This window comes from Homo sapiens, chromosome 6 (genome assembly GCF_000001405.40).
Source record: "Homo sapiens chromosome 6, GRCh38.p14 Primary Assembly".
NCBI classification, from domain to species: Eukaryota; Metazoa; Chordata; class Mammalia; order Primates; family Hominidae; genus Homo; species Homo sapiens.
This window is the reverse complement of record NC_000006.12, coordinates 61,433,418-61,450,300: the sequence shown is the minus strand read 5'-3', so window position 1 is coordinate 61,450,300 and position 16,883 is coordinate 61,433,418. Positions and strand designations below refer to the sequence as shown.

The 16,883-nt window shown below is 36.1% G+C and overlaps 1 annotated feature.

Annotated features, from left to right (window-relative positions):
- Positions 15,786-16,287: an enhancer, noted in NCBI's record as "OCT4 hESC enhancer chr6:61904506-61905007 (GRCh37/hg19 assembly coordinates)". NCBI's record gives its function as "activates a minimal SCP1, AML or CMV promoter by ChIP-STARR-seq in primed H9 embryonic stem cells {active_cell/tissue: H9 hESC(primed)}" and the evidence as "EXISTENCE:reporter gene assay evidence [ECO:0000049][PMID:30033119]".

Below are 16,883 nucleotides of genomic sequence, written 5' to 3'. Positions count from 1 at the left end.
TGCTCAGTAGAAAGAAAGGTTCAACTCTGTGAGATGAAAGCACCCATCACAAAGAAGGTTTTCAGAAAGCTTCTGTCTAGTTTTTATGAGAAGATATTTCATATTTCATCATAGGCCTCAAAGGGCTCACTAATATCTCTCTGCAGATTCTACAAAAAGATTGTTTCCAATCTGCTCAATCAACAGTAAGGTTCATCTCTTTCATATGAATGCACACATCACAAAGAAGTTTCTCAGAAACCTTCTGTCTAGTTTTTATGTGAAGATATTTCCTATTTCACCATAGGCCTCAACTGGCTCCCAAATGTCCCTCTGCAGTTTCTACAAAAAGATTGTTTCCAAACTGCTCAATTGAAAGAAAGGTTCAACATTTGAGATGAATGTGCACATCACAAAGAATTTTCTCAGAACGCTTCTGTCTAGTTTTTATGTGAAGATATTTCCTATTTCACCATAGGCCTCAAAGGGCTCTTAAATTTCCCCTTGCAGATTCTACAAAAGGACTGTTTCCAAAGTGCTCAATCAAAAGAAATCTTCAAGTCGGTGGGATGAATCTACACATCTCAAAGCAGTTTCTCAGACTCTTTCTGTCTAGTTTTTAGGTGAAGATATTTCCTATTTCTCCATAGGCCTCAAAGGAGTCACAATATCCCTCTGCAGATTGTACAAAAAGAATACTTCCAAATTGCTTAATAAAAAGACAGTTTCAACACTTTGATATGAATGCGCACATCACAAAGAAGTTTTTCAGAATGCTTCTGTGTAGTTTTTATGTGAATGTATTTACTATTTCTCCATAGGCCTCAAAGGGCTCACAGGTATCCCTCTGCAGGTGGATGAAAAGACTGTTTCCAAACTGCTCAATCAAAAAAAAAAAAGGTTCAACTCTCTGATATGAATGCACACATCACAAAGAAGTTTCTCAAAATGCTTCTGTTTAGTTTTTATGTGAAGATATTTCCTTTTTCACCATAGGCCCCAAAGCACTCCAAATATCCATTTGCAGATTCTACAAAAAGACTGTTCCAAAACTGATGAATGAAAAGAAAGTTTCAACTCTGTGAGATGAATGCACACATTGCAAAGAAGTTTCTCAGAATGCTGCTTCCAGTTTTATGTGAAGATATTTCTTATTTCGCCACAAGCCTCAAAGGGCTCTGAAATAATATCCCTTTGCAGATTCTACAAAAAGATGGTTTCCAAACTGCTCAAAAAGGAAAGCTTCAATTCTGTGAGATGAATGCATATATTACAAAGGAGTTTGTCAAAACCTTCTGTCTAGTTTTTCTGTAAAGATATTTTCTTTTTCACCATGGGCCTCAAAGTGCTCCAAATATCAATTTGCAGACTCTAAAAAAAGACGGTTTGCAAACTGCTCAATCAAAAGAAAAATTCAACTCCGTGAGATGAATGCAGCAATCAAAAAGAAGTTTCTTAGAATGTTTCTGTCTAGTTTTTATGCTAGGATATTTCCTTTTTCACCATAGCTCTCAAACCACTCACAAATATTCCACTGCAGATTCCACAGAAAGACTGTTTCCAAACAGCTCAATCAAAAGAAAGTTCAACTCTGTGAGATGAAAGCACACATCATGATGAAGTTTCTCAGAAAAATTCTGTCTACTTTTTATGTGAGGATATTTCCTTTTTCAAGATAGGCCTTATAGTCCTTTCAAATATCCCTTTGCAGATTCTACAAAAAGACTGTTTCCAAACTTCTCAATCCAGGGAAAGGTTCAAATCTTTGAGTTCAATGCACAGATCACAAAGAAGTTTCTCAAAAAGCTTCTGTCTAGTTTTTATGTGAAGATATTTCCTTTTTCACAAAAGGCCTCAAAGCGCACTAAAATATCATTTGCAGATCCTACAAAAAGACTGTTTCCAAAATGCTCAATCTAAAGAAAGTTTCAACTCTGTGAGATGAAAGCAAACATCACAAAGAAGTTTCTCAGAAAGCTCCTGTCCAGATTTTATGTGAAGATATTTCCTTTTTCACCATAGGCCTCAAAGGGCGCTAAAATATCCCTTTGCAGAGTCCACAAAAAGAATGTTTCCAAACTGCTCAATCAAAAAAAAGGTTCAACTCAATGAGAGGAAAGCATCCATCTCAAAGAAGTTTGTCAGAAAGCTTCTGTCTAGTTTTTATGAGAAGATATTTCCTGTTTCACCGTAGGCCTCAATGGTTTCAAAATATCCCTTTGTGGATTTTACAAAAAGACAGTTTCTAATATGATAAATCAAAAGAAAGTTTCAACTCTGTGAGATGAATGCAAACATCACAAAGAAGTTTCTCAAAAGTCTTCTGTCCAGTTTTTATGTTTAGATATTTCCTTTTTCACCATATGCCTCAAACCACTCACAAATATCCCTATGCAGTATCTACAAAAATCTTATGCAGTATCTACAAAAATACCCCTATGCAGTATCTACTCTTTCCAAACTGCTCAATCAAAAGAAAGCTTCAACTCTGTAAGATGAATGCACACATCACAAAGAAGTTTCTCAGAAAACTTCTGTGGAGTTTTTTGTGCAGATATTTCCTTTTACAACATAGGCCTCAAAGCACTCCAAATATCCATTTGCAGATTCTACAAAAAGACGGTTTCCAAACTGCTCAATGAAAGGAAAGGTTCAACTCTGTGAGATGAATGCACACATCACAAAGAGGTTTCTCAGAATGCTTCTGTCTGGTTTTCATGTGAAGATATTTCCTTTTCCATCATAAGTCTCATATGGCTCCAAAATATCCCTTTGCAGATTCTACAAAAGATCTATTTCCAAACTGCTCAATCAAAAGAAAGCTTCAACTCTGTGAGATGAATGCGCACATCACAGAGAAGTTTCTCGAAAAGCTTCTGTCTAGTTTATATGTGAAGATATTTTCTTTATCCCCATCTACCTCAAAGCACTTGAAATATCAAATTTCAGACTCTACCAAAAACTGTTTGCATACTGCTCAATCAAAAGGAAGATTCAACTCTGAGACATGAATGAACACATCACAAAGAAGTTTCTCAGAATGATTGTGTCTAGTTTTTATGTGAAGATATTTCCTATTTCACCATTGGCCTCAATGGGATCACAAGTATCCCTTGGCAGATTCTACAAAAAGACTATTTCCAAAGTACTCAATCAAAAGAAAACTTCAACTGTGTGAGATGAATGCACACATCACAAAGAAGTTTCTCAGAATGATTGTGTCTAGTTTTTATGTGAAGATATTTCCTTTTACCCCATAGGCCTCAAAGCACACCAAATATCCATTTGTGGATTCTATGAAGACTGTTTCAAAACTGCTCTATCAAAAGAATTGTTCAACACTCTCAGGTGAATGCACACATCACAAAGAAGTTTCTCAGAATGCTTCTGTGTAGTTTTTGTGTGAAGATATTTCCTTTTTCCCCATAGGCCTCTAGGAAGATATTTCCTGTTTCTCCATAGGAGTCTGAAAGTGCACCAAATATCCATTTGTAGATGCTATGAAAAGACTGTTTCCAAACTGCTTTATCAAAAGAATTGTTCAACACTCTCAGATGAATGCACACATCACAAAGAAGTTTCTCAGAATGCTTCTGTCTAGTTTTTATGTGAAGATATTTATTTTTCACCATGTGCCCCAAAACACTCAGAAATATCCCTTTTCAAATTGTACAAAAAGACTTTGCAAACTACTCAGTGTAAAGAAAGGTTCAGCTCTGTGAAATGAATACAAACATCAGAAAAAAGATTCACAGAAAGCTTCTGTGTAGTTTTTATGTGAAGATATTTCCTTTTTTACCATAGACCTCAAACAACTCATAAATATCCCTATGCAGAATCTACCAAAATACTGTTCCAAACTGCTCAATCAAAAGAAAGCTTTAATCTTGTGAGATTAATGCATGCATCACAAAGAAGTTTCTCAGAATGCTTCTGTCTAGTTTTTATGTGAAGATATTTCCTGTTTCACCATAGACATCAAAGGGCTCACAAATATCCCCCTGCAGATTCTACAAAAAGACTGTTTCCAAACTGCTCAATCGACAGAAATGTTCAAGTCTGTTAGATGAATGTATACATCACAAAGAAGTTTCTCAGAATCCCTCTGTCTAGTTTTTATGTGAAGTTATTTCCTATTTCTCCATAGGTCTCAAATGGCTCACAAATATCCCTCTGCAGATTCTACAAAAAGAATGTTTCTGAACTGCTCAATTAAAGAATTCTTCAAATCTGTGAGATGAATGCACAGATCACAGAGAAGTTTCTCAGAAAGCTTCTATCTAGTTTTTATGTGAAGAGATATTTCCTTTATCACCATAGGCCTCAAAGCACCCAATATATCCATTTGCAGATTCTACAAAAAGACTGCTTCCAAACTGTTCAATCAAAAGAAAGGTTCAACTCCTTGAGGTGAATGAAAACATCACAAAGAAGTTTCTGGTAATCCTTCTGTCTGGTTATCCTGTGAATATATTTCCTATTTCACCATGGGACTCAAAGGGCTCACAAATATCCCTTTCCAGATTGTACAAAAAGACTGTTTCTTAACTGGTCAACCAAAAGAAATGTTCAAGTCTGTGAGATGAATGTACACATCACAAAGAAGTTTCTCAGGATCCTTCTGTCTAGTTTTTATGTGAAGATATATCCTATTTCTCCATAGACCTCAAAGGGCTCACAGATATCCCTCTGCAGGTGTACAAAAAGGCTTTTCCCAAACTGCTCAATCAAAAGAAAAGTTCAACTCTTTGAGATGAATACACACATCACAAAGAAGTTTTTCAGAATACTTCTGTCTAGTTTTTATGTGAAGATATTTCCTTTTCCACCATAGGCCTCAAAGCGTTCCAAATATCCATGTGCAGATTCTACAAAAAGACAGTTTCCAAACTGCTCAATCAAAAGAAAGGCTCAACTCTGTGAGATGAATGCCCACATCAAAAAGAAGTTTCTCAGTATGCTTCTGTCTAGTTTTTATGTGAAGATATTTCCTTTTTCACCATACGCCTCAAATCACTCACAAATGTCCCTATGCAGAATCTACAAAAAGACTGTATCCAAACAGCTCAATCAAAAGAAAGCTTCAACTCTGTGTGATGAATGCACACATCACAAAAAATTTTCTCACAAAACTTCTGTCTAGTCTTTTTGTGAAGACATTTCCTTTGTCACCTTAGGCCTGAAAGTACTCAAAATATCCATTTGCAGATTCTACAAAAAGACTGTTCCAAAGCTGCTCAATCAAAAGAAAGTTTCAACTCTGTGAGATGAATGCACACATCACAAAGAAGTTTCTCAGAATTCTCCTTCCAGTTTTTATGTGAAGATATTTCCTATTTCACCATAGGCCTAAAAGGGCTCTAAAATATCCCTTTGCAGATTCTACAAAAAAAAGGTTTGCAAACTGCTCAATCAAAAGAAAGCTTCAACTCTGTGAGATGAATGCACACGTTGCAAAGGAGTTTCTCAAAAAGCTTCTGTCTTGTTTTTCTGTGAATTTATTTTCTTTTTTGCCATGGGCCTCAAAGAGCTCTAAATATAAATTTGCGGACTCTACAAAAAGACTGTTTGCAAACTGCTCAATCAAAAGAACAGTTCAACTCTGTCAGATGAATGCACACCTCAGAAAGAAGTTTCTCAGAATGCTTCTTTCTAGTTTTTATGTAAGGATATTTCCTTTTTCACCATAGCTCTCAAACCACTCAAAAATATTCCACTGCAGGTTGCACAAAAAGACTGTTTCCAAACTGCTCAATGAAAAAAGTGTTTACCTCTGTGAGATGAATGCACTCTTGACAAACCAGTTTCTCAGAAAGGTTCTTTCTAGTTGATTTGTGAACATATTTCCTTTTCACCATAGGCCTCAGTGTGCTCTGAAATATCCCTCTGCAGATTCTACAACAAGACGTTTTACAAACTGCTCAGTAAATAATGGTTCAACTCTGTCAGATGAATGCACACATCACAAAGCAGTTTCTCAGAAACTCTCTTTCCAGTTTGAATCTGAAGATAATTCCTTTTTATATCTAGGCCTCTATGGTCTCCCAAATATCCCTTTGCAGATTCTAGAAGAACAGCATTTCCAAACTGCTCAATGAAAAGAAAGTTTACCTCTGTGAGATGAATGTATGCATCACAAAGCCATTTCACAGAAAGCTTCTTTCTAGTTTTCATGTGAAGATATTTCCTTTTTCACCATAGGCTTCAATGCACTAACAAATATGTCTTTGCAGATTCTCCAAGAACAGAGTTTCCAAACTGCTCAAAGAAAAGAAACTTTTACACCTATGACCTGAATGCACACATGTCAAAGCAGTTTCTCGGAAATCTTCTCTCTAGTTTCTATGTGAAAAAGACTGTTTCAAAACTGCTCTGTTTAAAGAAAGTTTCAACTCTGTGAGATGAATGCACACATCACAAAGAAGTTTCTCCCAAAGCTTCTGTTTAGTTTTTATTTGAAGATATTTCCTTTTTCACCATAGGCCTCAAAGCACTCCAAATATACATTTGTAGATTCTACGAAAAGTTGGTATCCAAACTGCTCTTTCAAAAGAATGATTCAACACTCTGAGATGAATGCACACATCACAAATGTTTCTCAGAATGCTTCTGTCTACTTTTAATGTGAAGTTATTTATTTTTCACCATATGAATCACAATGCTCAGAAATATACCTTTGCCAATAATACAAAAAGACTGTTTGCAAACTGCTCAATGAAAAGAAAGACTCAACATTGTGAGATGAATACACACAACAAAAAAATTCTCAGAAAGCTTCTGTCTAGTTTTTATGAGAAGATAATTCCTTTTTCACCACAGTTCTCAAACTGCTCACAAATATACCTATGCAGAATCTACAAAAAGATTGTTTCCAAACAGCTCAATCAAAAAAAATCTTCAACACTGTGAGATGAATGCACACATCACAAAGAAGTTTCACAGAATGCTTTTGTCTAGTTTTTATGTGAAGATATTTGGTTTTTTACCATAGGCCAAAAATGGCTCACAAATATCACTATGCAGAATCTGCAAAAAGACTTCCAAACTGCTCAATCAAAAGAAAGCATCAAATCTGTGAGATGAATGCACACAAGACAAATAAGTTTCTCAGAAAGATTCTGACTTCTTTTTATGTGGAGATATTTACTTTCTCATCGCAGTCCTCAAACCACTCACAAATATCCCTCTGCAGATTCTAGAAAAAGACTGTTTCCAAACGCCTCAATCAACAGAAAGTTTCAACTCTGTAAGATGAAGGCACATATCAAAAAGTATCCAAACTGCTCAATCAAAAGAGAGGTTCAACTCTGTGACATGAATGCACACACCACAAGGAAGATTTTCAGAATGCTTCTGTCTAGTTTTCATGTGAAGATATTTCCTTTTCAGCTATAGGGCTCAAAGTGCTCCAAATATGCATTTGCAGATACTACACAAAGAGTGCTTCCAACTGTTCACTCAAAAGAAAGGTTCAAAACTGACAGTTAAGTGCACACATCACAAACAAGTTTCTGAGCATGCTTACATCTCGTATTTATGTGAAGATATTTCCTATTCATCTATAGGCCTCAAAGTGCTCCACATATCCATTTGCAGATAGAACATAAAGAGTTTTTTCCAAGCTGCTCAATCAAAAAAAGGTTCAACTCTGTGAATTGAATGCACACATCACGAAGAAGTACCTGGGAATGCTTCTGTCTGGGTTTTATGTGAAGATATTTCCTTTTCCACCAAAGGCCTCAAAGCCCTCCAAATATCCCCATGCAAATTCTACAAAAAGAGTTTTTCAAAACTGCTCAATCAAAAGAACGTTTCAGCTCTGTGAGATGAATGCTGTCATCATAAAGAAGTTTCTCAGAATGCTTCTGTTTAGTATTTATGTGAAATTATTTCCTTTTCTTCTATAGGCCTCAAAGCGCTCCACATATCCATTTTCAGATAGAACATAAAGAGTTTTTCCAAACTGCTCAATCAAAAGAAAGGTTCAACTCTGTGAATCGAATGTACACATCACAAGAAGTACCTGGGAATGCTTCTGTCTAGGTTTTATGTGAAGATATTTCTTCTTCCACCATAGGCCTCAAAGCCCTCCAAATATCCCCATGCAGATTCTACAAAAAGAGTATTTCAAATCAGCTCAATCAAAAGAAAGGTTCAACTCTGTGAGATGAATGAGCTCATCACCAAGAAGTTTCTCACAATACTTCTGTCTAGTTTTTATGTGAAGATATTTCCTTTTCAGCTTTAGGCATCATAGCACTCCAAACATCCACTTGCAGATTCTACAAAAAGAGTGTTTTCAAAGTGCTCAATCAAAAGAAAGTTTCAACTTTGTGGGTTGAATGCACACATCACAAAGAAGTTTCTCAGAATGCTTCTGTCTAGTTTTTTTGGGAAGATATTTGCCTTTTCACCATGAGCCTCAAAGCGCTCCAAATATCCACTTGCAGATTCTACAGAAAGAGTTTCTCAAAAATGCTCAAACAATAGAGAGGTTCAACTCTGTGAGATGAATGCACTCATCACAAAGAAGCTTCTGAGAATGCCTCTGTCTAGTTTTTATGTTAAGATACTTCCTTTTCAGCTATAGGTCTCAAAGCTCTCCACATATCCATTTGCACATACTTCAAAAAGAGTGTTTCCAAACTGCTTAATCAAAAGAAAGTTTCAATTCTGTGAGTTGAATGCACATATCACTAAGAAGTATCTGGGAATGCTTCTATCTAGGTTTTATGTGAAGATATTTCCTTTTCCACAATAGGCCTCAAAGAGCTCCCAATATCCCCTTGCAGACTCTACAAAAAGAATGTCTCAAAACTGCTCAATCAAAAGAAAGCTTCAACTCTGTGAGACGAATGCACTCATCCAAAGAAATTTCTCAGAATATGTCTGTCTAGCTTTTATGTGAAGACATTTTTTTTCAGCTATAGGACTCAAAGCTCACCAAATATCCACCTGCAGATTCTACAAATAGAGTGCATCAAAACTGCTCAATCAAAAGAAAGTTTCAACTCTGTGAGATGAATGCACACATCACAAAGAAGTTTCTGAGAATGCTTCTGTCTAGTTTTTACCTGAAGATATTTCCTTTTCCACCATAGGCCTCAAAGCACTGCAAATATCCACTAGCACATACTACAAAAAGAGTGTTTCCAAACTGCTCTATCAAAAGAAAGTTTAAACTCGTTGAGTAGAATGCACACATTACAAAGTAGTTTCTGAGAGTTCTTCTGTCTCTTTTTTATGTGAATATATTTCCTTTTCAGCTATAGGACGCAAAGCACTCCAAATATCCACTTGCAGATTCTACAAAAAGAGTGTTCAAAACTGCTCAATCAAAAGAAAATTTCAACTCTGTGAGATGAATGCACACATCACACAGCAGTTTCTCAGAATTTTTCTGTCTAGTTTTTATATGAAGATATTTCCTTTTCCACCATAAGCCTCAAAGCACTCCAAATATCCACTTGCAGATTCTACAAAAACAGTTTGTCAAAACAGCTCCATCAAAAGAAGGTTTCAACTCTGTGAGATGAATGCATTCATCACAAAGAAGTTTCTCAGAATACTTCTTTCTAGTTTTTGTGTGAAGATATTTCCTTATCAGCTATAGGCCTGAAAATGCTCCACATATCCATTTACAGTTACTACAAAAACAGTGTTTCCAAACTCCTCAATCAAAAGAAAGGTTCAACTCTGTGAGTTGAATGCACACATCACAAAGAAATATATGACAATGCTTCTGTCTAGGTTTTATTTGAAGGTATTTCCTTTTCCACAGTAGGCCTCAAAGTGCTCCAAATATCCAATTGCAGATTCTACAAAAAGAGTGTTTCAAAACTGCTCAATGAAAAGAAATGTTCAACTCTGTGAGATGAATGCACACATCACAAAGAAGTTTCTCAGAATGCTTCTGTCTAGTTTTTATGTGAAGATATTTCCTTTTCCAACATAGGCCTCAAAGCACTCCAAATATGCACATGCAGATACTACAAAAAGAGATTCTGGAAACTGCTCAATCAAAAGAAAGTTTCAAATCTGTCAGATGAATACACTCATCACAAAGAAGTTTCTCAGAATGCTTTTGTCTAGTTTTTATGTGAAGATATTTCCTTTTCAGCTGCAGGCATCAAAGCACTCCACATAACCATTTGCAGATACTACAAAAAGAGTGTTTCCAAACTGCTCAGTCAAAAGAATGGTTCATCTCTGTAAGCTGAATGCACACATCACATAGAAGTATCTGAGAATTCTTCTATCTAGGTTTTATGTGAAGATATTTCGTTTTCCACCATAGGCCTCAAAGTGCTCCAAATATGCACTTGCAGATCCTACAAAAGAGTGTTTCAAAACTGCTCAATCAATAGAAACTTTCAACTCCTTGAGATAAATGCACTCATCCTAAAAAAGTTTCTCAGAATGCTTCTGTCTAGTTTTTATGTGAAGATATTTCCTTTTCAGCTATAGGCCTCAAAGAGCTCCAAATATCCCCTTGCAGATTCTACAAAAAGAGTGTTTCAAAACTCCTCAATCAAAAGAAAGTTTCAACTCTGTGAGATGAACGCAGTCATCTCAAAGAAGTTTCTCAGAATGCTTCTGTCTATTTTTTATGTGAAGATATTTCCCTTTCAGCTATAGGACTTAAGGCACTCAAATATTCACTTGCAGATTTTACAAAAAGAGTGTTTCCAAACTGCTTAATCAAAAGAAAGGTTCAACTCTGTGAGTAGAATACACATATCTCAAAGAATGTTCTGAGAATGCCACTGTTTAGTTTTTATGTGAAGACATTTTCTTTTCCACCATAGGCCTCAAAGTGCTCAAAATATCCACTTGCAGATTCTACAAAAAGAGTGTTTCAAAACTGCTCCATCAAAAGAAAGGATTAACTCTGTGAGTAGAATGCAGATATTACAAAGAAGTTTCTGAGAATGTTTCTGTCTACTTTTTATGTGAAGATATTTCCTTTTCAGCTATACGCATCAAAGTGCTCCAAATATCCATTTGTAGATACTACAAAAAGTGTGTTTTCAAACTGCTCAATGAAAAGAAAGGTTCAACTTTCTGAGTTCAATGCACACATCACATAGAGGTATCTGAGAACTCTTCTGTCTGGTTTTTATGTGAAGATATTTCTTTTGCACCACAGGCCTCAATACGCTCCAAATATCCACTTGCAGATACTACAAAAATAGTGTTTCCAAACTGCTCAATCAAAAGAAAGGTTCAGCTGTGCGAGATGAATGAACTCATCACAAAGAAGTTTCTCAGAATGCTTCTGTCTAGTTTTTATGTGAAGATATTTCCCTTTCAGCTATAGGACTCAAAGAGCTCCAAATATGCACTTGCAGACACTACAAAAAGAATGTTTCAAAACTGCTCGATCAATAGAAAGGTTCAACTCTCTGAGTTGAATGAGCAGATCAAAAATAAGTTTCGGAGAATGCTTCGGTCTAGTTTTTATGTGAAGATATTTCCTTTTCCACCATAGGCCTCAAAGCGCTGCAAATATCCATTTGCAGACAGTACAAAAAGAGTGTTTTCAAATTGCTCTATCAAAAGAAAGTTTCAACCCTGTGAGTTGAATGCACACAACACAAAGAATTATCAGAGAATGCTTCTGTCTAGTTCTATGTGCATATATTTCCTTTTCCACTGTAGGACTCAAAGAGTACCAATTATTCACATGAAGATTCTACAAAAAGAGTGTCTCAAAACTGCTCAATCGAAGGAAATCTTCAACTCTGTGTGATGAATGTAGACATCACAAAGAAGTTTCTGAGAATGCTTCTGTCTGGGTTTTATGTGAAGATATTTCCTTATCCACCATAGGCCTCAAAGCGCTCCAAATATCCACTTGCAGATTCTACAAAAAGAGTGTCTCCAAACTGCTCAGTCAAAAGAAAGGATCAACTCTGTGAGATGAATGCACACAACACAAAGACGCATCTGAGATTGCTTCTGTCTGGGTTTTATGTGAAGATATTTTCTTTTCCACCATAGGACTCATAGCGCTCCAAATATCCACTTGCAGATTCTACAAAAAGAGTGTTTCAAAACTGCTCAATCAAAAGAAAGGTTCAACTCTGTGAGATGAATGCAGTAATCACAAAGAAGTTGCTCAGAATGCTTCTGCCTAGTTTTTATGGGAAGATATTTCCCTTTCAGCTATAGGACCCAAAACGCTTCAAATATCCACTTGCAGATTCTTCAAAAAGAATGTTTCGAAGCTGCTCAATCAAACGAAATGTTCAACTCTGTGAGTTGAATGCACACATCCCAAAGAAATTTCTGTGAATGCTTCAGTATAGTTTTTATATGAAGATATTTCCTTTCCCACCATAGGCGTCAAAGCGCTCCAAATATCCATTAGTAGATTTTACAAAAAGAGTGTTTCAATACTGCTCAATGAAAAGTTAGTTTCAACACTGTGAGTAGAATGCACACATTACAAAGAAGTTTCTGAGAATGCTTCTGTCTAGTGTTTATGAGAAGCGATTTCTTTTTCAGCTGTAGGCCTCAAAGTGCTCCAAATATCAATTTGCAGATACTACAAAAAGAATGGTTTCATAGTGCTCAATCAAAAGAAAGTTTCAACTCTGTGAGTTGAACGCACACTTCACCAAGAAGTATCAGAGAATGCTTCTGTCAAGCTTTTATGTGAAGATATTTCCTTTACAACCATAGACCTCACAGTGCTCCAAATATCCACTTGCAGATTCTACAAAAAGAGTGTTTCGTAAGTGCACAAAGTAAAGGTTCAACTCTGTGAGTAGAATGCACACATTACAAAGAAGTTTCTGAGAATGCTTCTTTCTAGATTTATGTGAAGATATTTCCTTTTCAGCTATAGGCCTCAAAGCGTTGCAAATATCCATTTGCAGATAGGACCAAAATAGTGTTTTCCAACTGCTCAATGAAAAGAAAAGCTCAACTCAGTGAGTTAAATGCACACATCACAAAGAAGTATCTGAGAATGCTTCTGTCTATTTTTATGTGAAGGTATTTGCTTTTCCAACATAGGCCTGAAAGCGCTCCAAATATCCATATTCAGATACTACAAAAGGAGTGTTTCAAATCTGCTCTATCAAAAGAAAGGTTCAACTCTGTGAGTTGAATGCACACATCACAAAGAAATTTCTGAGAATGCTTCTTCTAGTTTTTATGTGAAGATATTTCCTTTTCCACCATAAGCCTCAAAGGGCTCCAAATATCCATTTGTAGATTCTACAAAAAGAGTGTTTCAATACTGCTCAATGAAAAGAAATGTTCAAATTTGTGAGTTGAATGCACACATCACAAAGAAGTATCTGAGAATGCTTTTGTCTAGGTTTTATGGGAAGATATTTCCTTTTCCACCATAGGCATCAAAGTGCTCTAAATATCCACTTGCATATTCCACAAAAAAAGTGTTTCAAAACTGCTCTGTCAAAAGAAAGATTCAACTCCATGAGTTGAATGCACACGACACAAAGAAGTTTCAGAGAATGCTTCTGTCTAGTTTTTATGTGAAGATATTTCCTTTTACACCATAGGCCTCAAAGCGCTCCAAATATCCACTTGCAGACACTACAAAAAGAGTGTTTCAAAGCTGCTCAATCAAAAGAAACGTTCAACTCTGTGAGCTGAATACACACATCACAAAGAAGTATTTGAGAATGCTTATGTCTAATTTTTATGTGAAGATATTTGCTTTTTCACCATAGGCCTCAAAGCACTCGGAATATCCACATGCAGATACTACAAAAATAGTGTTTCAAAAATGCTCAACCAAAGGAAAGGTCCAACTCTGTGAGTAGAATGCACACATTATAAAGAAGTTTCTGAGAATGCTTCTTTCTAGATTTATGTGAAGATATTTTCTTTTCAATTACAGCCTCAAAGCATTCCAAATATCTATTTGCAGATAGGAACACAATAGTGTTTTCCAACTGCTCAATGAAAAGAAAAGTTCAAATCTGTGAGTTAAATGCACACATCACAAAGGAGTATCTGAGAATGCTTCCGTCTAGTTTTATGTGAAGGTATTTGCTTTTCCAACTTAGGTCTGAAGGCGCTCCAAATATCCACTCTCAGATTCTACAAAAAGAGTGTTTCAAATCTGCTCTATCAAAAGAAAGTTCAACCCTGTGAGTTGAACGCACACATCACAAATAAATTTCTGAGAATGCTTCAGTATAGTTTTTACATGAAGATATTTCCTTTTCTTCTATAGGTCTCAAAGTGCTCCAAATATCCATCTGTAGATTCCACAAAAAGAGTGTTTCAATACTGCCCAATGAAAACTGAGTTTCAACACTGTGAGTAGAATGCACATATTACAAAGAAGTTTCTGAGAAAGATTCTGTCTAGTGTTTATGAGAAGGTATTTACTTTTCAGCTATAGGCCTCAAAGCGCTCCAAATATCCATTTGCAGATACCACAAAAAGAGTGTCTTCTAACTGCTCAATCAAAAGAAAGGTTCAGCTCTGTGAGTTGAATGCACACATCACAAAGTAGTATCTGAGAATGCTTCTGTCAAGCTTTTATGTGAAGATATTTCCTTTACAACCATAGACTTCAAAGTGCTCCAAATATCCACTTGCAGATTCTACAAAAAGAGTGTTTCAAAACTGCTCAATCAAAAGAAAGGTTCAACTCTGTGAGATGAATGCACACATCACAAACAAGTTTCTCAGAATGCTTCCGTCTAGTTTTAAGGGAAGATATTTTCTTTTCCAACATAGGCCTCAAAGCGCTCCAAATATCCACTTGCAGATCCTACAAAAAGAGTTTCTCAAAACTGCTCAAAAGAAAGGTTCAACTCCGTGAGATGAATGCAATCATCACAAAGAAGTTTCTGAGAATGCTTCTATCTAGTTTTTATGTGAAGATATTTCCTTTTCAGCTGTAGGCCTCAAAGCACTCCACATATCCATTTGCAGATACTACAAACAGAATGTTTTCAAACTGCTCAATAAAAAGAACGCTTCAACTCTTTGAGTTGAATGCACACATCACAAAGAAGTATCTGAGAATGCTTCTGTCTAGGTTTTATGAGAAGATATTTCCTTTTCCACCATAGGCCCCAAAGTGCTCCAAATATCCCCTTGCAGATTCTACAAAAAAGAGTGTTTCAAAACTGCTCAATGAAAAGAAAGGTTCAACCTTGTTAGATGAATGCACACATCACAAAAATGTTTCTCAGAATGCTTCTGTCTAGTTTTTATGTGAAGATATTTCCTTTCCCACCATAAGACTCAAGGCGCTCCAAATATTCATTTGCAGATTCTAAAAAAAGAGTTTTTCAAAACTGCTCAAATAAAAGATAGATTCAACTCTGTGAGATGAATGCACTTATCACAAAGAAGTTTCTCAGAATGCTTCTTTCTGGTTTTTATGTGAAGATATTTCCTTTTCAGCTACAGGCCTCAAAGTGCTCCACATAAACATTTGCAGATACCACAAAAAGAGTATTTCCAAACTGCTCAATCAAAAGAAACGTTCAAATCTGTGAGTTGAATGCAGACATCACAAAGAAGAATCTGAGAATTCTTCTCTCTAGTTTTTATGGAAAGATACTTCCTTTTCCACCAAAGGCCTCAAAGCAGTACAAATATTCACAGGCAGATTATGCAAAAAAGAGTGTTTCAAAACTGCTCAATCAAAAGACAGGTTCAACTCTGTGAGTTGATTGCACACATCACAAAGGAGTTTCAGAGAATGTTTCTGTCTAGTTTTTATGTGAAAATATTTCTTTTTCCAACTTAGGCCTCAAACGGAACAAAATATCCTCTTGCAGATTATACAAAAAAGTGTTTCAAAACTGCTCTGTCAAAAGAAAAGTTCAACTCTGTGAGTTGAATGCACACATAACAAAGAAGTTTCTGAGAATGCTTCTGTCTAGTTTTTATGTGAAGATATTCCCATTTCCACCAAAGTCCTCAACGCGCTCCAAGTGTCCACTTGCAGATTCTACAAAAAGACTGTGTCAAAACTGCTCTATCAAAAGGAAGGTTCAACTCTGTGAGTTGAATGCACACATCACAAAGTGGTTTCTGAGAATGCTTCTGTCTAGTTTTTCTGTGAAGATATCCCGTTTCCACCATAGGCCTCAAAGCTCTCCAAATACCCACTTGCAGATTCTACAAAAAGAGTGTCTAAAAACTGCTCTATCAAAAGGAAGATTCGACTCTGTGAGTTGAATGCACACAACACAAAGAAGTTTCTGAGAATGCTTCTGTCTCGTTTCTTTGTGAGGATATTTCCTTTTCCACTACAGGCCTCAAAGCGCTCCAAATGTGCACTTGCAGATTCTACAAAAAGAGTGTTTCAAAACTGGTATATCGAAAGAAAGGTTCAACTTTGTGAGTTCAATGAACTCATCACAAAGAAGTTTCTGAGTATGCTTCTGTCTAGTTTTTATGTGATGATATTCCCATTTCCACTGAAGGCCTCAAAGCGGTCCAAGTATCTACTTGCAGATTCTGCAAAAAGAGTGTTTCAAAAATGCTCTATCAAAAGGAATGTTCAACACTGTGAGTTGAATGCAAACATCACAAAGTAGTTTCTGAGAATGCTGCTGTCTAGTTTTTATATGAAGAAATTTCCTTTTCTACCAGAGGCCTCAAAGCACTCCAAATAACCACTTGCAGATTCTACAAAAAGAATGTTTCAAAACTGCTCTATCAAAAAAAGGGTTCAACTCTGTGAGTTGAATGCAAACATCACAAAGTAGTTTCTGAGAATGTTTCTGTCTAGTTTTTATATGAAGATATTTCCTTTTCTATCATAGGCCTCAAAGCCCTCCAAATATCCACTTGCACATAATACAAAAATAGGGTTTCAAAGCTGCTCTATCAAAAGAAAGGTTCAACTCTGTGATTTGAATGCACACAACACAAAAAAGTGACGGTGAATGCTT